Below are 24859 nucleotides of genomic sequence, written 5' to 3'. Positions count from 1 at the left end.
TGTTGAAAGATTAAATAAGAAAACATAAAATGTTTGGCAGGCCCTGACACAGAATAAGTAGGGGGCCAAGCATGATGGCTCAGGCCTGTAATCCCAGCAATTTGAGAGGCCAAGGTGGGAGGATCACTTGAGCCCAGGAGTTCGACAGCAGCCTGGGCAACATAGCAAGATCTCATCTCAAAAACAAAGAATAAGTACAATACTCAATAAGTGTGGCTACTGTTCTGTGCAACACATGAACCTCTCAAGGAGGAAGACACTATTGGCAATGAAGTAAAGCCGCTGTCAGGCCCACAGTCCAGGAACCAGCTGAGCTATGCACAAGATGAGGAGGGGGACCTTCTGAATGCAAACAGTTTAAAACACTAAACATTTTCATTTGACATTTATCTTTTCTACTAAACTTTGGAAATGCACCAAATAAAATCCATGTGTTCACCAAACTAAAATAATTATCTCACTCATGACCCTAAAATTACAAGATGTAAATCTCATGAGACTTTGCTAGGAACCAGTTATTTTAAGTAAATAATTAGCCGACTAAAAAAAGGAACTAGGTATAAATAGGAGCATATTAGGTCTCCTGCCTTCTACAGAGAAAAGAAAAGGCCAAAGGAAGATAATGGCAAAAAAAATGATCATACTTCAGTTCAGGCACTGGGAATAAAACACTCCCCTTATCATATAAATTGTGAAAGGAAAATCAATCTTGGGGCCCCAAAATCACTCAGCTAAAAGGAAAAGTCAAACTGGGAGGCAAATCTGCCTCCCATTCCACTCAAAGTCACCCCTCTACTCACTGAGAAAAATGCTTCTGGCTGCCTCTCTCACCCACCTGCGACCTGGAGACCCCCTCCCTGCTTCGAGTTGTCCCGCCTTTCTGGACAGCACCAATGTACATCTTACATATACTGACTGATGTCTCCTGTCTCCCTACAATAAGTAAAACCAAGCTGTGCCCTGACCACCTTGAGCACATGTTGTCAGCACCTCCTGAGGCTGTGTCACAGGCACGTCCTCAATCCTGGCAAAATAAACTTTCTAAATTAACTAAGACCTGTCTCAGATATTCGGGGTTCACAGAAGAAGAGGAAATATATGGATTTAGTTATCTAATTCATTGATTAGCTACGTATACTATATTCGGTTGACAGAAGGAGAAAATATGGCCCTGAAGATAAATATCAGTCAAGTGGAAAGGGAACTTTCATAAAATAAATGAAGAAAAAGGGGTACTGAGTAACAGGATGTTCTCTGCAGAGGTTTCCGGTTACAGGTAGCCCTCAATCTGGCTTCTAATGGCATTAACGTTTTCCACAGAATAAGGAAACACGATCTACTTGGAAGAGAAAGAATTCATGTCAGGAAGCGAATTGCTCAGCTCCATTGTGGCCTGAATAAATGTAAACATGAGACTGTTGTTCCCACAGTTCTGGGAGGTCATCTACTATTCTCAGGACAAAAGCCTTCTCTGCCACACAATTATCTGCCAGACTCCACACTGTACCAGTATCTATGGCCTTCAGCTATTTTAAGCTCAGCTTTCCTAGCAACTTCCTCCCACTCCGCATCACCACCACCCTCACCCGCACCCACCCAATTATCATGTCTGCAACTCAGCTATCCAAGTGTCCTTTCCCTCCACTCCTCCAGCACTGTCATTCTAGGACTAAGACACAAACCGGGGAGGCATATGGCAGAGCAAATTAGAGCCTGGGCTCTTGTGTCAATGGACCTTGATTTGAATCCCAGCTGGACAACCTGGAAGCAAAGGCCTCCTGTCCAAGCAAACAGAAGGAAAGCCACCAACAAAGGGGGAGCGCTGGGAAAAAGGGTTACTGCCCAGCAGGGAGACGGATCACACCAGACAGAGCAAAAGGGAAAAGAGGTGGGGGGAAATTGGGAGGTTTTTCAAAAAATTGAGTTTAATTGACCAAATTGGGCAGTCCTCCCTCAAACCAGAATTGGTTCAGAGTGACTCCCAGAGAGGTCTTTTAAAGCAAAGACTGCAAACTGGCCCTGTTGGGAATTATGAAAGCCAAGTGCCTGAGCGCCGTGGGCTGATGGCCTCCAGGTGGGCACAGGCGCTCTGCCTGCTCGGGGGCACGGTACCGGGTCAGCCCACACCGCTGTCAGCAGGCGAGGCAGCCAGGTCAGGGCAATCACTTAGTAACCAATTTCAACCTGTTTCCTCAGTTGTAAAGTGGGATGAAAGAGCCTACCCACAAAGTAAGTGTGGGCAATAAACAAGATATTGCCACACAAGCACTCTCTAAATGTTGTTCTTAGACCTGTTATATGTTCTTTAAGTATTTTGCAAATTGCGGTTCAGTGGCAGGATCCCTGGCTGCCACCCAGGAGCCCAGGCTCCTCTCCAGGCCAAGCAGTATCATCTTCACCCTGGGCTTGTCAAGGTCAAATAAAAATATAAAGCTGAATCCCTAAAACAGTTTCATTTGGGAAAAGAGAATTGCAACTTGGGGCATAGAGAAAGACCAGGTGCTCTTCGGTATGTGCGAAGAAAAAACGGAAGGCTGGGGGTTTTATGAGAAAGAGAAAAGTCATCATCTATGTGGCCCCGCTGCGAGCCGCTCCTTTGATCTTAAAGAAACTTGACAGCATATGAAGACTGAATATCCATGTGAATGCATGACACGAAGAACATGGTGACAGCGTCTGCTCTCTGCAAGTGAACAGGCTCAGAAAAGTCTGAGGGACTCTCTGAATGAACTTAAAAATTCTGCTTGTTAACAACAAGTTTGACTCTGGTAAATGGCCTTCATAGCTAAAGTATAAAACCAAAGAGGAGGGAAGAGGAGGAGAAAAAGAAAGAAAAGAAAGAAAGGTGACATACTGTTTTGAAAACTCATTGGTACTAGTGAAGTTTTTGGGAGCTGGCAAGCTCTGACTGAACCAGTCTTAGAGTCACAGTAATTCATTTCAGCAGCAAGGAGTTAACACTGGTCTTAAAGTTACAGCAGGTCACTTTGGCAGCTGGCCTTCAAGATAATCCCGGGGCAGACGCTCTGTGTCCCAGCTTTTCTTCTCCCCTGGTCCCTCGACTCCAGTTTAGTTGGGTGTGACAGGGTAAGTCCAATTCGTATCATCGATTTTCACAGACTCTATACTCGCTGAGAGCAGAACTCAAGGGGCTCAGTTGCCACTGCAAGCTCCAGACCAAGCACAGCGGCAGGAGCTACGTCAATCCCCTCCAGGAAGTAACAAGAGTCCAGGAGGCAGAAGCTGCTGGAGAATTGTGTCCTATTGGCCGATGGCATACCGAACTCCCCTGTCTCCCTGGTACGTGGCCAATATTCTCAAACTAAATAGCTTTAAGTGTTTTAAGCTTTTAAAGGTAAAAACATGATATAGTTTTAGGTGAGGATCTTAACATCACCTACAAAGCACTCCAAAATGTCCTTCATGAAAAAGAAAACATGACTATGAGAATCCACAACACATTTTTTTTTTTTGAGACAGAGTTTCGCTCTTGTTGCCCTGGCTGGAGTGCAATGGTACCATCTCGGCTCACCGACACCTCCACCTCCCCGGTTCAAGCGATTCTCCTGCCTCAACCTCCCGAGTAGCTGCGATTACAGGCACGTACCACCACGCCAGTTCATTTTGTATTTTTAGTAGAGACGGGTTTCTCCATGTTGGTCATGCTGCTCTCGAACTCCCGACCTCAGGTGATCCACCTGCCTCGGCCTCCCAAAGTGCTGGGATTACAGGTGTGAGCCACCGCACCTGGTCCACAACACATTTTTTTAACCTTTCCACCATGTGGTAATAATGCAGTCAAAATATACATCATGTTACTTTGCACAGATCTAAATTACACCCAGAAGAAATTGAAGACACTGTCATTCCTATTTTCCATTCTCATCTCAGCCTTACCAGTCAATATCAACTTCAATTAAAATGGCTGTCAAATCAGTACTAATTTGATTCCTTGCACTGAAGGGTTGCCCATATTTAAAAATACTTGAGCCACAATAAGGAGCCAATGGGGCGAAGCTACCATCTGTGGGATTATGACTGAACGCCTTTAAGTCAGAATCCCACCCAGGCAGACGGATACAGCAGTGCCCGTGGGGCCTCGGTTGGCCTCCAATGGCCTCAGAGAGCCGGTCCCTCCCCCGCCGAGCGCCAGGACTGGGGTCCGGTGCAGAAAGCCCCTCGTCCTGGGAAAGGCAGTCGCCCCCTTGCCCGTTGGGCCACCCATGTTCGTGGGGAACCTGGCTCTAAACCATTCATAGACGACCTGCAGAATTCTGGGTCGGGGATTTGTATGTAGCAGAGCACCTCCCTCACTGCGATCTATTGAAAGTCAGCCCTCAACACAAGGGTTTGTTTAAAAAAAAAAAAAGAAGAAGAAGAAAGAAGAAAAGAAGAGAAAGAAAGAGAGAAAGAGAGGAAGGAAGGAAGGGAGGGGAGGGGAGGGGAGGGAAGGGAAACAAACAAAAATTAAAATATAGTACTTGAGCCAACCAGGCACTCATGTTAAACACAAACAGGAAAATACAAGGATGTTTATTCCCCTCCCTTCCTTAACCTCTGGTTGTTTAAAAAAAAAAAAAAAAAAAAAAAAGAACCAATTTAAGGACCCAGCTGATTTGGATTCATGAAAGTAAAGCAAAATCTCTATGGCAAAGAAATCCTTCATGAAGCCTGAGTCATGTACAAACCCTCCTTTTAAAAGAGAAACGTGTCCTTGAACCTTTAATGTTGACCAGTTACTTTTTCCCCCTTGCAGAACTCAGTCTATTGACCAGTTATTTTTATTTTTTAATTAACTTTTTTTTTGAGATAGAGTATCATTTTATTGCCCAGGCTGGAGTGCAGTGGCACAATCTCAGCTCACTGCAACCTCCATCCCACCCCCATCCCCGCGGCTCAAGTGATTCTCTCGCCTCAGCCGCCCCAGGAGCTGGGATTACAGGTGGGTGCCACCATGCCCAGCTGATTTTTGTATTTTTAGTACAGACAGGGTTTCACCATGTTGGCCAGACTGGCCTCAAACTCCTGACCCCCAGTTATCTGCCTGCCTTGGCCTCCCAAAGGACTGGGATTATAGGCGTGAGCCACCTTGACTGGCCAGTTATTTTTATTATAACGTTACTTAAATAGGTGCAAACAAACTAGTTTCTAAAACAAAAAAGCTCATACAATTATAAAATGTAAACAACATACATTTCATGGGGAAAATGACAATTTGTTGAAGACCAATTTCCCCTTCAAAATGAATATGGAACTGAACAGGAGGGGCACAGCTTCTTTCAAACTGGACAGAAGCTGTCTGATGACTCACTACTCCCATCGTTTTACTCTATTTAAATCTTTATTTGTACAGCTCCCCATCTGCAAAGTAAGCACCCCAGTCTATAGTTCGCTCAAACACATCACTTACATAGTAATTTCATCCCTATTCTTTTTGTATTTACTTTCAGCCATTAAAACAGTATTATTTGTTGTCCACAAAAAATAAAAGCTAACCATGTGCTGATAGTGCTCAGCTGTAAGCATGCTATACAGATGATCTCAACGCATCCATGTAGTTTTTCGATTATCAAAATAAAAGTACAAAGACAACCAATCCCTGTTAGAGAATTATAAAGACACTAGTTAGAAAAAAATGGAGGTATACACATCTTTAAATACAAATCTTTATACTTAAGATACCTGGTCTCCGTCAATAAATCTTGAATGTCAAATACTTTGCATGCCACAATCACTTAAGCCCTAGGCAAACAAGAATGTCTACAGGGCTACGAAAGGTTTTATTTCTCTTTGCTTTTCATGTGTTTAAAGCAATCACATGATGCTGAAAGCATCCAAAGGAAACCAAAACATGCATGATATTCAAAAACCATTCCTAATCTGAAAAATTTTTGGTCTAATAAAGAGCAAACTGAGTACAAATCTCTCTCTAACAACAAAATAGCAGTGTGCATATTCCCCTTCAGATCCGCCTGGACTTGGCAGAGTACGGTTTTACTTTCCAGAGTGTAAAAGAGAAATTTGTGGACTTCAGAAAAGCATTTGGTGTTCTAGGGAACTGCAGCTGTCAGCTTTTAAAGATGCCATGTGTTTGCCCACATAAAGGAATGCAATGAGCTATGGAAATATTATCTGGTTTCATGAACCAGAATAATAACTCCACAGAGTCAGTAGGCTGCCAATAGGAGTGCTTTAATCCATCAGGAAAATACTGATCACTCACTGTTTATTAAATATCTACTGTGCAGGTTGTACTTCATAGACCTTGAAGCACTTAAAATTTAAATCACACTCTGAAGAACAAAGAAAAGAAAATCAGGAGTAACACTATGACTTGAACACTTAACAGGGGGTAGGGTCATCTACAGAATTCTCTATCTTCTCTACCACCTCCATTCCCTTAGCACAGGAGTTCACCCTTTTATTTAAGTGGGTCACCACTCAGCTCATCATTCCACACCAGCTTTTACATGCTATTCTTTCTTTGTTAAAAAATTAACAACAATGGCAATCATGAGCTGTAAATTAAAGCTGTATTTTCAACAGATGGAATAAAATAGTGGTGGTTGAATTCCTCAAGGAACTTGTCTTTTGGATCTGGAATCTATCAAATATAAAAGACAAGGGCCGGGAGCGGTGGTTCACACCTGTAATCCCAGCACTTTGGGAGGCCGAGGCAGGCAGATCATGAGGTCAGGAGTTTGAGACCAGTGTGGCCAATATGGTGAAACCCCATCCCTACTAAAAATACAAAAATTAGCTAGGCTTGGTGGTGGGCACCTGTAGTCCCAGCTACTTGGGAGGCTGAGAGAGAAGAATCGCTTGAACCTGGGAGACAGAGGTTGCAGTGAGCTGAGATCGCACCACTGCACTCCAGCCTGGGCAACAGAGCGAGACTCTGTCTCAAAAAAAAAAAAAAAAGAAGAAGAAGAAAAGAGGCCGGGTGTGGTGGCTCATGCCTGTAACCCCAGCACTTTGGGAGGCCCAGACAGGCCCATCGCCTGAGGTCAGAAGTTCGAGACCAGCCTGGCCAAGAGGGCGAACCCCCATCTCTACTAAAAATGCAAAAATTAGCCAGGTGGTGGTGGCTCACACCTGTAATCCCAGCTACTTGGGAGGCTGAGGCAGGAGAATTGCTTGACCCAGGAGGTGGAGGCTGCAGTGAGCCAAAATTGTGCCCCTGCACTCCAGCCTGGGTGACAGAGTGAAAGTTTATTTCAGAAACAACAAAACAAAAAAAATACTACAGTTGGGTGGATCACACGAAGCCAGGCGTCCTAGACCAGCCTGGCCAACATGGTGAAACCCTGTTTTTATTAAAATTACAAAAATTAGCCGGGCGTGGTGGTGCACATTTGTAATCCCAGCTACTTGGGAGGCACGAGAATTGCTTGAGCCCCAGAGGTGGAGGTTGCAGTGAGTCGAGATCGTGCCACTGCACTCCAGCCTAGGCAACAGAGTGAGACTGTCTCAAAAAAAAAAAAAAAAAAAAAAAAAAAAAAAAAGGAAAGAAAGCTATAAAATGTAATTGAAACTTTAAAAATGTATAGTACAGACAACAGCCAAAAGGTAGAAACAACCCAACGTCCATCGGTAAGTCAATGGATGAGCAGAATGTGGCAGATACAATTGAGTACAATTCAATTCAGAATGTGGCATATACAATTGAGTACAATTCACCCCTGAAGAGGAAGGGAATTCTGCACATGCTACAACATGGATGAACCTTGAAGACATTAGGCTAAGTGAAAAAACCCAGTTACACAAAAGGTCAAGTACTACCCAAAAACTAAAGCTACAACATGGGTGAACCTTGAAGACATTAGGCTAAGTGAAAAAACCCAGTTACACAAAAGGTCAAGTAACTACCAAGTTACGCAAAAGGTCAAGTGTCATTCTACCCATAAGAGGTACCGAGAGTAGTCAAATTTATAGGGACAGAAAGAATGGTGGCTGCCAGGGGCTGGGGAAAGGAAGAATGGGGAATGAGTGTTTCATGGGGACAGAGCTTCGATTTGGGGAGATGAGAAAGTTCTGGAGATGGATGGTGGTGGTGGCTGCACAACGATGTGAATTTAGTTAGTGCCACTGAACTCTGCACTTAAAAGTGGTTACAGGCCGGGCACGATGGCTCACGCCTGTAATCCCAGCACTTTGGAAGGCCAAGGTGGGTGGATCATGAGGTCAGGAGTTCGAGACCAGTCTGGCCAATATGGTGAAACCCCATCTCTACTAAAAATACAAAAATAGAAGTTATGGCCAGGCACGGTGGCTCATGCCCAGCCCACATGCTTGTTAATATAACGTGGACATCACTAAATAAACTCAAGAACAGCAATTTGGAGAAGTACATAAAGCAAACAGTCTCCTTCTAGTGTATGTTAAATCCGTCACATGAAAACATGATGTAATAAGAGCCTATTTATACAGCCTGTTGAAAAAAACCATTCGTTTGAAAAACTTTTAAATAAAAGTTATGGCCAGGCATGGTGGCTCATGCCTGTAATCCCAATACTTTGGGAGGCCAAGGCAGACGCATCACGAGGTCAGGAGTTTGGGACCAGCCTGACCAACATGGTGAAACCCCGTCTCTACTAAAAATACAAAAATTAGCCGGGGATGGTGGCGCATGCCTGTAATCCCAGCTACTCAGGAGGCTGAGGCAGAAGAATCGCTTGAACCTGGGAGGTGGAGGCTGCAGTGAGCCGAGATCATGCCACTGCACTCCAGCCTGGGCAACGCAGCGAGGCCCCATCTCAAAAAAAAAAAAAAAGTTATAATAGAAACCACCCTCCTTTCTTCCTATCCCATGTACTACAAATTCAAATGATGCAAATCCACACCAGGGGTTCTCCAGCTTGAGCAGGCGTTAAGAATCACCTGGAAGCCTTGTGAAGCCACAGACTGCGGGACTCACCTCCAGAAATTCTGACTCAGTGAAGAATTAGGATTTGGAACTCTTCGAATTTACATTATAAACCAACTTTGTGTGAGAAAATTCAAATGAAGATAATACGTGTTTGGAGAAGAGCTTTCTAAATATTAATGCCATAAATCCTGCAACATACCAATGACCACTTAAATCAATTTACTTCTTAAAATATGTACCCTGTAGCTTTTAGTTCTGGGCCTTGATTTTTAATACATACACAAGCATTAAACTAGGAAAAAGAAAAGAAACACACACATTTTGTGATTAGGCCTACCTCATGCTATGGAATAACTTATTTATTAAGAAAACAAGAATTATGTAATAACTCTTGGGTTTTAAATTTGGAGAAATCTTAAAGTCAGATTACCATTCCACCAGAGTCAAGAATTTTACTTAAAATAAATTTATGTTCTGTAGGAGAACCAAAGAAATAGGATTTTGTATATACTTTGTATTCATCACTACAGGAGAAAAGCCACTCAAAACACTAAGTGACACATAAACCAGGACACGCTTTTCAGGCAACTAGAGGGATTATAAGCTTCAGTTCACTGAACTATTTTACTCACAAAACATGATTTGCATCAGATTCTTTTGAACCATAAATAGTAAATACAGCCGACCAAACGACTATGTTCCAATGTAACCTTTTGTCAAAATTTTCATTATGTCATGGGATTAGAGTAAAAAAAAAACAAAAAACAAAATTTCACTGACAGAGAAGAAGTGATGCAAGAAACGAAAGCATACACTGCAAGACCCTCTACTCTTCATAGACATCTTTTTTTTTTTTTTTTAAGACGGAGTCTCGCTCTGCTGCCCAGTCTGGAGTGCAGTGGTGTGATCCCAGCTCACTGCAACCTCAGCCTCCTGGGTTCAAGCAATTCTCGTGCCTCAGCCTCCCCAGTAGCTAGGATTACAGATGTACGCCACCACGCCCAGCTAATTTTTGTATTTTTAATAGAGATGGGGTTTCACTATGTTGGCCAGGCTGGTCTCAAACTCCTGACCTCAAGTGATCCGCCTGCCTCAGCTTCCCAAAGTGCTGGGATTACAAGTGTGAGCCACCGTGCCTGGCCGAGAAATCTATTTTTGAGGGCATGAGGATTTGATTCTCACCCTGGGAACACTGGCAGTTGCAGGGAAGGTGACAGAGAGAGGCAGAGAGACCAGTGGAGTGTCAGGACCCTACAGCGGCTGCCAGTGCACAGAGAGGAACCTCCACCAGGAGCAACTGCATGCAGCCAGCTAGAGTCAGCCAGGTGAGAAAGCAGGAAAGGTATTCCAGGCAAGTATGTGGTCAAGGCACCAAGATCATGACAAAAAATGGTATACCTAGGAAACAGCAAGAAATTCGACATAATTAGACTGTGCAGTGGGTGTGGAGGCCTCGCCATGGAGAGGAGGCTGCAGGACAGGCAGAAGGCCAATGACAAAGGATTCTGGGAGCCAAGCTTAAGCTGGGAACCTCATCTTAAAGATGAGGTACGTGGACTGGGCGAAGTGGCTCACGCCTGTAATCCCAGCTGAGGCTGAGGCAGGAGAGAGGCGGAGGCTGCAGTGAGCCGAGATGGCACCACTGCATTCTAGCCTGGGCAACAGAGCGAGATTCTGTCTCAAAAAAATTAAATAAATAAATAAATAAAGATGAGGTGCAGGCACTTCATCATTTGAAACTTGCAGGCAGCACAGTCAAGTTTACAATGTACCGATCTCTCTGGCAGCAGCCCCAAGGACGAGCAGAAGAGTGAGGGGTAGACTCAGGGTCCAGAGGCTGTTGTAAGGAGGAGTGGTCTGGGGCTAAGCCACCAAGGCTACAGAAGAGCAAAGTGAGCGCCCATCCAGGAGACATCTCTGCCAGCTCCCATCTGGGCACCAGCAAGACTGAGGGGTGAGGAAGGAAGGCTGCCAGGGATGCCTGGATTTCTGCTCTGAGGGTAAGGTACCTGCGGGGCCACACATCTAAAGCAGCAGCTCAGGGGAAAGGGAGAGCTTCTGAGTGGTGTTTTATTGGTTTGGTTTTTACTGGGGTGGGTGTGTGGGTGTGGGTGTGTGTTTGTTTCTGTTGGGGTGTGTGTTTTTTGCGCAGGCAAGAGGAGATGAACTCTGTTTCAGAGGCATTAAATCTGCCTGGGACAGTGAAATGGAGATGTCTGCCAGACACCTGGCTTGGAGTTTGGAAGCTCCTGGGGGGCATCTCGGGTGAAGACAAAGCTTTGAGATCTTTAGTTTATAAAGTGACAGGTGAAGCCACAGGTTTAAATGGGGCTGCCCAGGAAGTGCTGCCCAGTAAGAGAGCCAGATAGCTATGCCTAAAATAGCATTAACTGCTCATTAAAACACCTATTATTGCCAGAAAATGCAAAATATACAACTGGGGGTCCCCAAACAGCAAAATCAGAGGAAAAGGAACAAACAATCCATCCGCACCTTAATAAGGCAAGAAAGTGGAATAAAGAAAGTCCAGATCAGAAGGGGAAGGCCGGACCCCTAAAAGGAAAAGAAGTAAGGACGCAGCCATCTACTGAAATACACAAGACATTTACAAACTGGACGCTTATCAGTACCTCGGATATTCTACTGATACACATGGCAGTACAGATCACTGAAAAACAGGGCAGATGTCTGAATGGAAAATGGATCCAGTACATATAAAGATACACATAGCAATTATTTCATATATTGATACATAATTATAGAGACAGACTTTTCTTAAAAAAAAACCAAAAAAAAACAAAAAAAACCAGAAGGGGCCAGTAGAGTCCTCCCTCGGTATCTGGAGGGGACTGGTTCCAGGATGTCCCTCCAATCCCAAAACCTGTGGATGCCCCAGTCCCTGATATAAAAATGGAGTGGCATTTACATTTTATATTTAACCTACACACATCCTCTCATATACACAGACACACATCTTTTAGATACAGGGCCTCGCTCTGTTCACACAGGCCAGAGTGGCACTGCAGCCTCAAACTCCTAGGCTCAAACAATCCTGTCTCAAGTCTCCTGAGTAGCTGAGACTACGGGCATGCGCCACCACACCCAGCTAATTTTTTTTCAGTTTATCATAGAGACAGAGTCTCGCTAAGTTGCCCAGGCTAGTCTCAAACTACTGGCCTCAAGTGATTCTCCCGCCTTGGCCTCCCAAAGCACTGGGATTACAGATGTGAGCCACCACACCCAGCCCTCCCGTACACTTTAAATTCTCTCTACATTACTTATAATACCAAATACAATGTAAATGCTATGTAAATAGTTGTTGCATGCGTTTTATTTGTATTACAGTTTATTGTTGTATTATTTTTGTTGTTTTTCCTGAACATTTCTGATCCACGGTTGGTTGTATCTGTGGGTGCAGAACACAAGGATACAGAGGGCTGCTGTCCTCTTACATCAACTTGTACCATGCAAGAAAATTACAACGCAATATATGCTTCTTGTTACAACATGCAAAATAATTCCACTAGAACTATATAAAAGTGTCTGCTTCACTAGCGTACAGGTCAAAAATCAAGAGAGATGGATCAATTATAACATCTGCCAACCAAAATCCTCTCTACAGTGAACTTCTCTGGGGAAGCTTCCCCAGGCAGCCCAACAGCCCTATCCAGAGCTCTAATAAAAGAGACAACAGAAGAGGGCAAGGACTGACTGCCCAGCACAACTGGACACCTCAGACCACAAACACCACCCACCTCCTCAGCCCCAGGCCAGACTCCTGCCAAGTGCCTGCTGCATGCACTACATAGAAACGCTGCCAATAAATTAATCCCTCTCACCTGCTTTCAGTACAAAATGAGGACCCATTCAGTGTTAAAAAGTAACTACAAAAATAAATAAATAAGGAGTAACCATAAATAGAATGGCCTAGTTTAATTTGGGAAAAAAATATTTTGCATCTTATTTGCAACTCAAAATTATATAGAACAATCCTAGGAAGAAAAGGGGAGCAGCTGGTTTTAACTATTAGTTTCCATCTCTGCCAGCAAATGTTTAAACAGAACTGCTAGCCAGGCTCAGTGGTTCACGCCTGTAATCCCAGCACTTTGGGAGGCCAAGGAGGGTGGATCACTTGAGGTCAGGAGTTTGAGACCAGCCTGGCCAACGTGGTGAAACCCCATCTGTACTAAAAATACAAAAATTAGCCGGGCGTGGTGGCGCATGCCTGTAGTCCCGGCTACTCAGAGGCTGAGGCAGGAGAATCGCTGGAACCCGGGAGGCGGAGGTTGCAGTGAGCCAAGATTGCGCCACTGCACTCCAGCCTGGGTGACGAGTGAAACTCTGCCTCAAAAAAATAATAATAATAAATAAATAAAGAGAACTGCTAAAGGGTGGCTGCATTGATTGAATTTAGGTCCACACCTTCTCCTTACAGCCTATTTGCTGTAAGGAACAATTAAATCAGCAAAAGGTTAAGGTAACTGAACAGGACAAATGACCCAGTTTCTCTAACAAATCAATGGCATGAAAGGAAACAAAAGGAAAGGGAGAATGTTAGAGAATAAAGGAGACCCAAGAAACATAATAACCAAATACAAATGGCTTTATTTGAAGCAGGATCCAAGCAACTTATGAAAGACATTTTTTAGACAAGTGAGAAAACATGAACGTGAACTGTGTATTAGATGATCATCAGGCATCACTAGTACTTTTGTTAGGTGGGATAACAACATGGCGGCTGTGTTTAAAAAGGAGAAAGGCTCTCTGCACAGTGGCCCCATCATAGTCAGTGAGGTTTACCCGAGACGTGATTATTGCTCATTGAAAACTTCCCAATACCACAAGATAACTTGCAATAGAGCTGGCACCGGCCATTTCCATTTTTTTTTTTTTTTTTTTGAGACGGAGTCTCGCTCTGTCACCCAGGCTGGAGTGCAGTGGCATGACCTCGGCTCTCTACAACCTCTGCCTCCTGGGTTCAAGCGATTCTCCTGCCTCAGCCTCCTAAGTAGCTGGGATTACAGCTGCCTGCCACCACGCCCGGCTGATTTTTGTATTTTTAGTAGAAACAAGGTTTCACCATGTTGGCTAGGCTGGTCTCAAACTCCTGACCTCAAATGATCCACCCGCCTCAGCCTCCCAAAGGGCTGGGATTACAGGCATGAGCCACCGTGCCCAGCCAGCACTGACCATTTCTGACAGTCTCTATGGAGACTGAATATTTTGGTTTAAAAAAAAGTCTGCCTTAGTAATCTTAAGCAACAGGAATATAATTTCAAATTTAAAAAAAGAAAAATTAGCTGGCATGGTGGTGTGAGCCTGTAGTCCCAGCTACTCAGCAGGCTGAGGCAGGGCTCCTTGAGCCCAGGAGTTCGAGGCTGCAGTGAGCTATAATCGTGCCACTACACTCCAGCCTAGGTGACAAAGCAAAACCCTATCTCAAAAAAATAAAAATAATATAAGCAAAAGGTTAGAGATGTACACTGAAGTATTTGTCAACAAATTAACAAGATACCTGAAATCTGCTTTAATACACCAGGAAAGAAAAAAGTGGGTACAACTGATAAAAATATTGGCAAGAGTTTGTTTTGTTTTTTAGAGACAGGGTCTTACCACGTTGCCCAGGCTGGTCTCAAACTCCTGGCCTCAAGCCATCCTCCCCACTTGGCCTCCCAAAGTGCTGGGATTACGGGCATAAGCCACTGTGTCAGGCCCGGCAAGATGCTGGTAACATTGAAACTGGGTGATGGGTAAATGGCATTTATTATATGATTCTCTCTACCTGTGTATGCTTGAAATTTTCCATAAAACAAGGTTTTGGGGTTTGTTTGTTTTTATAAAAACCAGGTAAATCAGAGAGGCGAGAAGCTGAATCTGATACATCTTATTTCTGCTTGAAATATTTTCCTACTGCACCACAACTGCCTTCACTCTAGCGCATTAAAGACACTTGGATACAGCTCAGGAAAAGCATGGGGAAAAACCAACTGGAATGCATAATGCTGAGACGGAACACAAGGGAGAAGGTCTGGCTCTGTACAAAGGAGCACGTGATGAAAGCTCACTCTAATTGTCCATTTTCAAAACCAACTAAATCTGACTAATTACACCACCCCAGCTTTGATGAAATGCAATAGGACTCACGCGATGGCATTCACAACTTTACAAACGAGGGCAGCACAGTCTCCCACTGATTGACCAGGTCCTTTTATATGTCATAGGAGAAAATGGAACATTTCCCTCCACTTCCAGACTTGAACAAAGTTGGGTTTTAAGTCACCTACCCCAAAAAGTAGATTGCTTATTCGTTTGGGTAAAAACAAATTCTACTGCACATTAGGCTGCTGGAAGATCTAAGAATACCTTGATGAATGAAAAGATGTATTTCAATATCACACCTAACCATCAGAAACTAAAAAAACCAGAATCAGAAATACAAAAAGGCCCAAGGATGAAATCCAGGATGAGAGAAAGAAGACATGCTCTGAGAAGATGAACGATGGACTGAAAATATTTCCTGTAACTAAAACAATGCTGAAAATCTGACGTGCACAGGACCTCAGTCAGAGGAAGAAAAAGTTAGAGAAAAGGGGACAGGCAGCTCAGAGAATATTCAGGCAAGGTACGGGTGGGCGGATGGATGGTTTCTGAACGCAGCTAGCTGCCACAAAGATGGAGAAAGGGCAAAGCAGGACCTGTGCCCCCTGCCCAACCAACCAGAGGAACGACATGGGCACAGCTGCCCAACATGGGCACAGCTGCCCGTCAGAAAGTGTTCTCCCTCGGGCATTTCGCACTCCACGGAGGCCCTGATTAAGGAAGAGCAGTGTCTCCTCACCCTGAAGTAAGATATATGAGTCGCGAGTCCATCCTGGGATCCCTCACGTCTCCCTGTTTTGTATATGAAATTGGAATGGATGAAAGAGCTTCAATATAAATGCCTATTTGATCTAACAGAGATGCACATTCATAGTCATTTACTCACTTATAAACTGATTCAGTTCCCCTGGTATTTGGAGGTGAGAAGGGGCAGGGTATCTGGAAGGGAGAGGGGGAGACTGTGGCATCACCAGGTCGCCCTTGCCTACCCTCACCCCTGCTGTCTGTTTCACTCCAGCACCTCCTCACAGCAGTCTTACACTAGTCACTGGCCTAGCAGGTTACAAAGCTGGTCTGTGGCAGGCACAGGTTTGTACCTGGCCTCAAAGCAAATCTCTTTCTCTTCCTTCCTCCGGTCTTAATGGGAAGACATGAGACACCTGAGAGGAAAGGGGGAAAAAACCCCAAATGCCAGAGTACAAAACAAAATAAAGCAAGAGGAGCAGGAGAGCGAAACAAATTCTTTTGTACTCGGGCCATTTAATCGACAACTGTGGTTACTCTGAGAGCACTGCCTGTGGGTCAGCCCTGCTCCGCAAGGAGCAGTATTTAAAAACAAAAACAAAAACAAAACCTATACACTGGTAAGCAGGTTTTTTGGTTATTCAACCTGGAAAAGCACACCACTTAAACTGCCAGGAGAGTGTTTACCAACAAGGTTTTGCAACGTTTACGAAAATTAAAAAAAAAAAAAAAAAACACAAATCAGCCAACTTTATCACAAAAGGGCTTTGCTCCCAGGTGACCCACTGGTTAACTGAAAGACCATAGCATGTTACTTCTGTTCCATGTAGAAAACATAAATCTCTTGTCTGAAAACAGAATTAGAGATGCATTTTATTTCCTTATTTATTTTTGAAACAGGGTCTTGCTCTGTAACCCAGGCTGGAGTACAGTGGTGTGATCATAGCTCACTGCAGCCTTGAACTCCTGGGCTCAAAGGATCCTCTCTCTTCAGCCTCCTGAGAAGCTAGGACTATAGGCACACACCACCATGACCATTTATTTTAATTTTATTTTTTTATAGAGACAGGATCTTGCTATGTTGCCCAAGTTGGTCTCGAACTCCTGGAACCTCAAGAAATCCTCCCAACTCACCCTCCCAAGTTCTCAAGTAACTGCACTACAGACAGGCGCCATCATGCCCTGGAGATACAGTTTGGATCTGAATTTCCACCATTCACCAAGTCCTCATCCTCACAGTTCGTGTGAACAAGTCACACACATCTGCATGCCCACAGACTATGTCCTTAGCACCCGCGCTTGGGAGAACAAGACAAATAACTGTCAAGGTCACTGCCCTGGAAGGACACACAAAATAGTATGAGAGCAACACTCAAGAGGCTTTGTGAATAAAGAAACTCCCATTGCAAGTGAAAGTACCTAACACCAACTCCAACATTAAGAATGTGTCCCGGGGAAGGGAGAGAAACATGAATGGCATCTTCAGAGGCATCGGGGACGTGTGGAAGGACAAGATGGGTAAGATCTGGAGAGACAGATGGGGAATGGCAAACATCTGAGGCAAAGAAGTCTGAAAAGAAAAAAGAAAAGAGGGGGCAGGAAACAGCACTGTGTGTCCGGGCCAACGGGAACAAGACAGAAACAAATGTTCAAGTTCAAGCTGGGAAGTGTGCATAATTATGAAATAAGGTTAAACGGACCAGGCAGAACACAGCCACAAATGGCCTTGCCGAAAAAAGCACAGGAGCTGAGACGTGCGAGGACGGATAACAGGAAAGCCTTCAACACAGGACACACACAATGGAAAGTGTGTGGCAGGGGAGCACAAAGTGACCTAAGGGATGAAAGATGTGAGTGCGCAAAGGAACAAGGGACCCCTGGTCTTTCCCTGCAAAGGGAGGGGCTTACGCTGCAACGATGGCAGTGCTGGGACAGACAGGGACAGAACCAGGTGCCTTGGTTCCTGAAGGCACAGTCTAAAGGGTGTGTCTGCTGAAGGGACAGAGACACTGAAGGGGTTCCTGGAGAAAGCCAGCACTCCTAGGGCACAGTGAAACTGGGATGAGGGCGAGGAAAGGAGAGAGCAAAGAATGAGGTGACCACATCTGCTGTGTAATGGAAATAAGCCCAGACAGAAACGGCACTGGACAGGGTGGCAACTCCTGGGATGCACAGGAGCTAATGGAGCCTCTTCTATCGTGTGTTCCCACTGGTCACAATGAGGACAGCTGTCCTCAGCAGAAGAAAGACCAGAGTCCAAGCCACTATCTCGCCTGCGGCTGTCACCACAAAAATCGGGTTCAGAAGGTGGCCTCTCATGTTCTTCCCTCTCTCCCACAACTCTCCTTAAGGGCTCCTGACCTTGACCTCTCCCACCCTGCCCTCCTACACTAGGTGGCCTCCCGCCTCCTTCATTTTCCCTTTGAAGCCTTTATTAAGGAACCATTAACATGCAGGGGGAGGGGGAGATGCACTTGACAATGTTTAACTTTTAAAGTTTGTGCTTTATCTTAGAAATTTCAAAAAGAAACACTTCAACTCAAGCACCCTAGAATTATACATCCCATTCTAAGTTCCTAATCTGTGGGATCATATCACTATGCTCCCGTGAGATCTTAAACCCTTTAAGGCACAATCAATCAGTGTCCTTCACTGATTAATTTCTCCTCCCCGCAAGCCAGGAAGAGCAGCCCTTTGGTTAAAACTGATCAAACTGTACACCTGACATGTGACCACTTCATTGTATGTAAATTATAACTCAATTTAAAAAATGAGTCCCCCACACCTTTGTCAAAACACAGGACATCTGCAACCATCCCCCCAGAAGGTTCCCTGGTGCGCCTTCCTTGTCAGGTGTGAGGCTTTCGTTTGTGTGTGGCCAAGAAGTTTTGATTTCTCTTTCATAAAATGTTTCAGGTACACATCCCTGGGTAGAAGGAAGAAGCATAGTATGAGAAAAGAACACTAAACTCGAGAATCAGATCTCGGCACTACCTGTGTAAGTTTCACCACCTCGGAGTCTCAGATTCCCCGCCCTCCAAGGGAGGGTTGAGCTAGGTGATTGCTCCAACTCGCTGAAAGCTCTGACATTCTGTTTCTGGGCTGATATCTAACAAAACAACACCATGCAAATGCCTACTGAAAAACCTCCACTTCAATTTTGCTTATGTAAATACCACTCAAGCGAGTTAATGAGAACTTTAACATGTTTTTTTTTTAATGGTACTGACCTCAAAACAAATGGTAAATTTTCATTAAATCAAGTGAGATGCAATTAACATATCTGACCTGACTGTGTACCTATTTATACTAGGCACTTTTTACCTGAACAATTTTCCGGCAATACTAAATTACAAGTAAACTCTTGGTTAAAACAAACAAACAAAGGCATTAAGTTGAGTGAGGCGTTTTCTCCCACTCTCTCACCTCACAGGACTCACATAAACCAGGACTCGACCCACCTCCCGTGACTGCGTGCCGGGCACTGCCGGCCACTCCTGCCGCCACCGTGCGTTCTAGTGAGGCACATTCGCTTTCTGACGTGCTCACAAGTCCGCCGGCGGAAGCTACGGTTCCGTTCTCACCTTAACTGCATATATACCTCTTTCCTCACTCTGAATGCTGAACTGAAAAGGGCATTTTCAGGTTAACTCATTTTACTGTTAGTTTTCCTCAATGACAAAAAAAATTAAGCAAATACTGAGGATTTTATACCATAAAACTACAGTAAGAAATGGGGGCAAAGGACACCACACAAACATCACTCACAGTCTACTTTTGGAAGGAAAAAGGTAACATATTTCATTTTCGGATTTAAAAATGTTTTCTTTATACTACAGGGTGGAAGAATATACGTGCGTGTGTGTGCGTCTGTGTGTTTGTTTGTTTGTTTTTCTAACAATTCAAAAGAAAATTTCCTGAAGCTGGTGAGGCAAAAAAAAAAGTTTCTAACTAGTAAGTTTTAAATCATAAAAAAAAGAAAAAAAAGGAGAAGAAAGAAAGAAAAAGAAGGGAAATTAACCACTACCTCAGAACAATAGTTTTAAAATGGTTTAATTGTAAAAACTTGGTGGCAGCTCAGAATTTGAATTTCGAGTTCTTCTGTAAAGTCCTGCATGAACTGGCAAGGTAAACGTCACAATTTTGAAAATAGTGAAGTAAGGGAAATAAGGAAGTCTGAACGTTAAACAATCCAAACACCTCCTCTTTTATTAAATCTAACGTTTGGCAAAGAAACCAGCCTTTGCCTCAAACTATCAGGGTTGCATGAACTTTTTAAGCCACACTCAAGTGTTTTGGAGAACATCCCCCACCCTGCCCAACTCTCTGCCCTGTGTCCACCCCGGGCCGTGGGCAGCCACTCTACTTTACCTGGCGATGCCCACTGCCTACCACCCCCACTGCCTCCTCCCCAGCTCCACCAGCCCAGCTCACTGAACAAGGGTCAGGCCTCCCACCTAAGGCAAACAATCCACAGGCTAGCCAATATCCTCAAACCCAGGACCAGGGCAGGGGTCGGGGTGGGGAATGAACTAGATCAAGTTTCTCTCAAGGATGTGAACTATGAAATGTGACAGGAATTGGTCACTTAGAAACTGAAAGAATGCAACAAGAAATGCCACAGAGTTGAACTGGGGCCAGAGGGCTTTCAGACAGCTAAGCACGTCCTCGAGCTGAAGCCACATGGAAAACTAGGAGTGAGCAAAGCAGCCAGCTGGTGGCGGGGTAGAAGGCTCCAGCACATGGAGCCAGGCACAGTCCCACAGGGCAAAATCCTAGAGAAAAACTGTGGCTGAGGCCCCCAGAGCAGCCAGGAACCTCCCTCCACTACCAGGCTCTGGAGCTCAGCCCATCCCAGCTCGAATTCCCGGATTCCTGTGTGATTCCTATCACACTATACATGTTCCCACTCACCAAACTCCTTCCCAAGCTGGCTGGAGTGGGTCTTTGCCTCATACAACCAAAAGCCAAAACAGCACAGATAACATGCAAATGGCAAACATGGTAAGTCAACAACATAAAATACTGTTAACAGCCCTAGCTACACATATTTAAGATGTGTAACTACATCTTAACACACGTAACTTCTTAACACACAGACATCTTAACACACAGAGCTTCTTACCCACACACACAAACCAAAACCTCACACCTGAAAGGGAAGGCGCACCACAGAACCTTCACCAGGGGGATGGATTCAAATGTCCTGTGTTTTCACAAAGGTGTGAGGGATTCTTTTGTTAAAACTAATCAAACTGTACACCTGACACGTGACCATTTCACTGTATGTAAATTATATCTCAAGTACAGTGGCTCACACCTGTAATCCCAGCACTTTGGAAGGCCAAGGCAGGAGGATCACCTGAGGGCAGAAGTTCAAGACCAGCCTGGCCAACATGGAGAAACCCCATCTCTACTAAAAAACAAAACAAAACAAATATATATGTGTATATATACACACACACACACACACACACACACACACACACACATACATACACACACACACACACAAATTAGCCAGGTGCGGGGGCAGGCACCTGTAATCGCAGCTATTCGGGAGGCTGATGCAGAATCGCTTGAACTCAGGAGGCAGAGGCTGCAGTAAGCCAAGATCGCGTCACTGCACTCCAGCCTGGACGAGAGCAAAACTCCGTCTCAAAAAATAAAAATAAAAATAGACCAGGAGAGGTGGCTCACGCCTGTAATCCCAGCACTCTGGGAGACCAAGGCGGGTGGATCACCTGAGGTCAGGAGTTCGAGACCAGCCTGGCCAACATAGAGAAACCCCATCTCTACTAAAAATACAAAAATTAGCGGGCATGGTAGTGCAGGTCTGTAATCCCAGCTATTTGGGAGGCTGAGGCAGAAGAATCGCTTGAACCCAGGAGATGGAGGTTGCAGTGAGCTGAGATCGCGCCACTACAATCCAGCCTGAGTGACAGAGTGAGACGCTGTCTCAAAAAAATAAATAAAATAAATTTTAAAACAAACCCTGTCATGTAAATTCTTCCCGTAAGAGGACTTCTTGTTTTTCAAAACTATTGATCTATATAAATCCCACAAACATACGCTGAGCAGAAGCAGCCAGCTGCTAAAACACCTGCGTTTCTATTTATAGAAGGAACAGAAACAGGTAACAGTCCTCTGTGTATTAGGAGTCAAAACAGTGGCTCACTTGAACCAGGGGAGACTTCTTCCTGGGTTGCCATGTTCTGGTTCCTGACCTTGGTGCCAGTATCCCAGGTGTGCTGAGTGTGACACACGTTTTCATCAGGTGTGTGCTCATGAAAGACACATTCTCCTGTCTGTATTATATTTTCTGGTATGTATGTTATATCTTAATAATAACACAAAAGAGAAAGGAAAAGAAGAAATACCCTACGGTAATCTAAAAATGACTGGAAAAGGTTTGCTTTGCATCTAGTAAAATGCTTATTTTCAGCCAAATTCTTCAGGTAAATAACGGAAAAACTCATTCAACAGAGTCATTTGAATCGTGAGTAAAACTCCATCGCACAGTGCTCAGTTCTAACACCACCTAAAGTGAATTCACCCATAGGCAGAGCACTCTTCCACACGAGCAGCAAAGACCACACTCCATGTCCCTTTGCTACTCTAACGAAGGAAAAAAAGAGCACAACCCCGAGGAAGAAGTGCTTAGAATCCCACTTCTGTGTGTTCAAAGGGAGAATTAACTTCAATTCATACATTACCCTGAGGTGCATTTTTTTTAATAAGCAGATTTTTATTTTCAGAGGCTTGTATTTTAAAAACATTTTACACACTCTAGATACGGTTCATAAGCATAAAAACAGAGTAAGTTCAAGTGATGCCATGGAGACGAACAATAAATCTATAGATCATCAAATTCTAACACTGTACTTTATAAATAAGAAGCCAAAGAGTAAATTGAAATGTCAAGTACTTACAGCCATAATTAATTCAAAGGGGTATTTGTACACCCTCACTGGGGACTGGTATTTCTGCACCATGATTGCAATACAACAGCAACCCTCTCACACCTGCAAAACATAAATATATGTGATAAGTAACCACAATGCAGAAACAAATTATTAGTAAGTCTGCACTGACACATCATACCACACTCTAACGACAGAAAGAGACCACAATAGGTCATAATTCTATGCACACAAAAATGAAAAGATGATATTTAAATACATGAGGGCAGGGGGAGGTAATTAAACAATAAGAAAAAGCAGACAAAGCCCCAATGCAATGAGGCAAACAGTACTGGTGTGAGAGGGGTCCAATCCTCTCATTGGCTTACTGGGACTCTGCATTCATTACATGACCTGACCTGAGTCCTTTCCAGCAATGAACTGTTATGATTCTATTATTCTAATAACCAATATAATTAATGCTTGGATCATTTTCTCTTAAACAACTTCTACTAGAAGCCAAATAAAAATGATCTCGTGTTAAGATATTAGCTCTGGGAAAACAAAAATAAAACTGGAAAAAAATACTACTGTATCTCAAACTATGGAATACTCCTCAAAAGCTAGCTTCAAAGGAAACGTGTCAATTCCTATTTTCTAACTGTGTACACTACAGCTTTGGCGACCTGTCTTCGAGTGGCAGAGATGCCAAGTATTCTGGCTAAACAGGCTCCACTGAAATCTCTAGCCTCAGATAGCTAATATCCGTAAGTAATCGGTTAAATGTTCACACCTAATTCACAGTCAAGGAGCCCTCCTTATGGGTGCATAATCATTCTCTAGCGCCAGCCTACACGGATTGCTCTAAAAACACACCTGGACTTGCCAGTCCTCTGTCTCCCCTATTTAAAGTGAGAAAGAAAAATCGAATGAGCCTACCTGTCTTGTTGAGGATAATCATTAAGAATGGTACTTTATGCTGAACATGGTGAGAGGATATTCAAACATACAAAACTGAATATCCTCAAGGAGCCCGAAGTCTAGCTGTTAAAAAAAAAAGAGAGAGACAAATTACCAAGATGTATTTTATTTCAGAAACTTCCAAGATTCCTTTTTTTTTTTTTTTTTTTTTGAGACAGGGTGTCTCTCTGTTGCCCAAGGTGGAACACAGTGGCACAATCTCCACTCACTGCAGCCTCCACCTTCTAAGCTCAAGTGATCCTCCTGCCTCAGCCTCCCAAGTAGCTGGGACCACAGGCACGCACCACCATATATATTTTTTGTAGAAGGTTTCCCCATGTTGCCCAGGCTGGTCTCAAACTCCTGGGCTCAAGGGATCTGCCCACTTCAGCCTCCCAAAGTGCTAGGATTATAGTCATGAGTCACGGCGCCTGGTATAGAATTCCCATCTATAGTACTAAGGTTTAAACAGGTTTGGAACTTTCTCTGGTATGTCTGGCATACCTCTCAGAGGAGAGGTCATGGTGGAAAACATCGCCATCTGACAGTGTGAAAACGGCTAAGGAATGACTCTGGGTGACCACGAGTAAGCCATTTGACTTCCCTAGGACTCAGTTTCATCTCTGTAAAATGAGGTTTTCGGGGAGATGATCTTGAAAGACTTCCACCTCTAAAACCATGAGAATGAGAGCCAAACTCCCAAGTTCTCCAAACTCAACTTGAAGCTTTTCTAATATTCATCTTGATTATGCGACTGACACATCCTGATGTGCTGGGACCACGTTCTTTTTCTTTTGCAAACCTTACAGTGTTGGTGCACAGTGGGAATCCAATCATCTTTTAAAAATTTAATTGGGAATATTAATTTTAGGGTACTCTCCCAGATATGAGGACGATAACCGGGTACAAACAAGAGTTGGGGGAAGAAGCAAAAAAGCGTAATGCTCGTTTAAGAAACGGTAACATCCATTCAGGATTCCACCGCCTGGCAGAACTGGCTACACTCACTTAAGAACCTGCTAATTCACGAGCTTGTGAACCACAGCCAGGTCTCAGCTGCCGATGCTCTGGTCCAGATAAACGCCCTACGCGGGCATCCGGAGTGACAACGACCAAGTGGCATCCAGGAGCCGGACGGCCTCCATTGCATGACAATCGCTGTTTAAACAGGAGCCAAAGGCCAGACCCACTGAACGCATCCCGAGCAGGCTCGAGGGGCGGCCGGCGCCCGGGGCTGCTCAGCAGGGGTCCCGCGCGGCTGAGCCCCACGGGGCCAAAGCCCCGA

The 24859-nt window shown here is 44.3% G+C and overlaps 1 protein-coding gene and 1 pseudogene across 6 annotated transcripts in view, besides 2 other annotated features; one reads left to right on the top strand and one right to left on the bottom strand.

The window, feature by feature from the left end:
- SEC14L1 (SEC14 like lipid binding 1) overlaps positions 1-24859 on the bottom strand; it is a 128417-nt gene that overhangs the window by 50798 nt on the left and 52760 nt on the right. For 5 of the 6 annotated variants that reach the window (NM_001204410.2, NM_001204408.2, NM_001143998.2 and 2 more), the window contains 2 exons: positions 23554-23658; positions 22645-22737 (listed from right to left, as the gene is read on the bottom strand). In NM_001204410.2, coding sequence (NP_001191339.2) covers positions 22645-22707 — 63 coding nt within the window. In that variant the 5' untranslated portion in view covers positions 22708-22737; positions 23554-23658. The remainder of the gene's footprint in view (positions 1-22644; positions 22738-23553; positions 23659-24859) is intronic. The other variant, NM_001143999.2, reaches the window with a different exon arrangement.
- Positions 2448-2949: an enhancer, noted in NCBI's record as "NANOG-H3K27ac-H3K4me1 hESC enhancer chr17:75159437-75159938 (GRCh37/hg19 assembly coordinates)". NCBI's record gives its function as "activates a minimal SCP1, AML or CMV promoter by ChIP-STARR-seq in primed H9 embryonic stem cells {active_cell/tissue: H9 hESC(primed)}" and the evidence as "EXISTENCE:reporter gene assay evidence [ECO:0000049][PMID:30033119]".
- RNU4-47P (RNA, U4 small nuclear 47, pseudogene) lies at positions 13630-13743 on the top strand (annotated as a pseudogene).
- Positions 24563-24857: a silencer, noted in NCBI's record as "tiled region #40; HepG2 Repressive non-DNase unmatched - State 1:Tss, and K562 Repressive DNase unmatched - State 1:Tss". NCBI's record gives its function as "represses a minimal TATA promoter and a strong SV40 promoter by Sharpr-MPRA in HepG2 and K562 cells {active_cell/tissue: HepG2 | K562}" and the evidence as "EXISTENCE:reporter gene assay evidence [ECO:0000049][PMID:27701403]".

This window comes from Homo sapiens, chromosome 17 (genome assembly GCF_000001405.40).
Source record: "Homo sapiens chromosome 17, GRCh38.p14 Primary Assembly".
NCBI classification, from domain to species: domain Eukaryota; kingdom Metazoa; phylum Chordata; class Mammalia; order Primates; family Hominidae; genus Homo; species Homo sapiens.
This window is presented reverse-complemented; position numbering and strand designations above follow the sequence as displayed.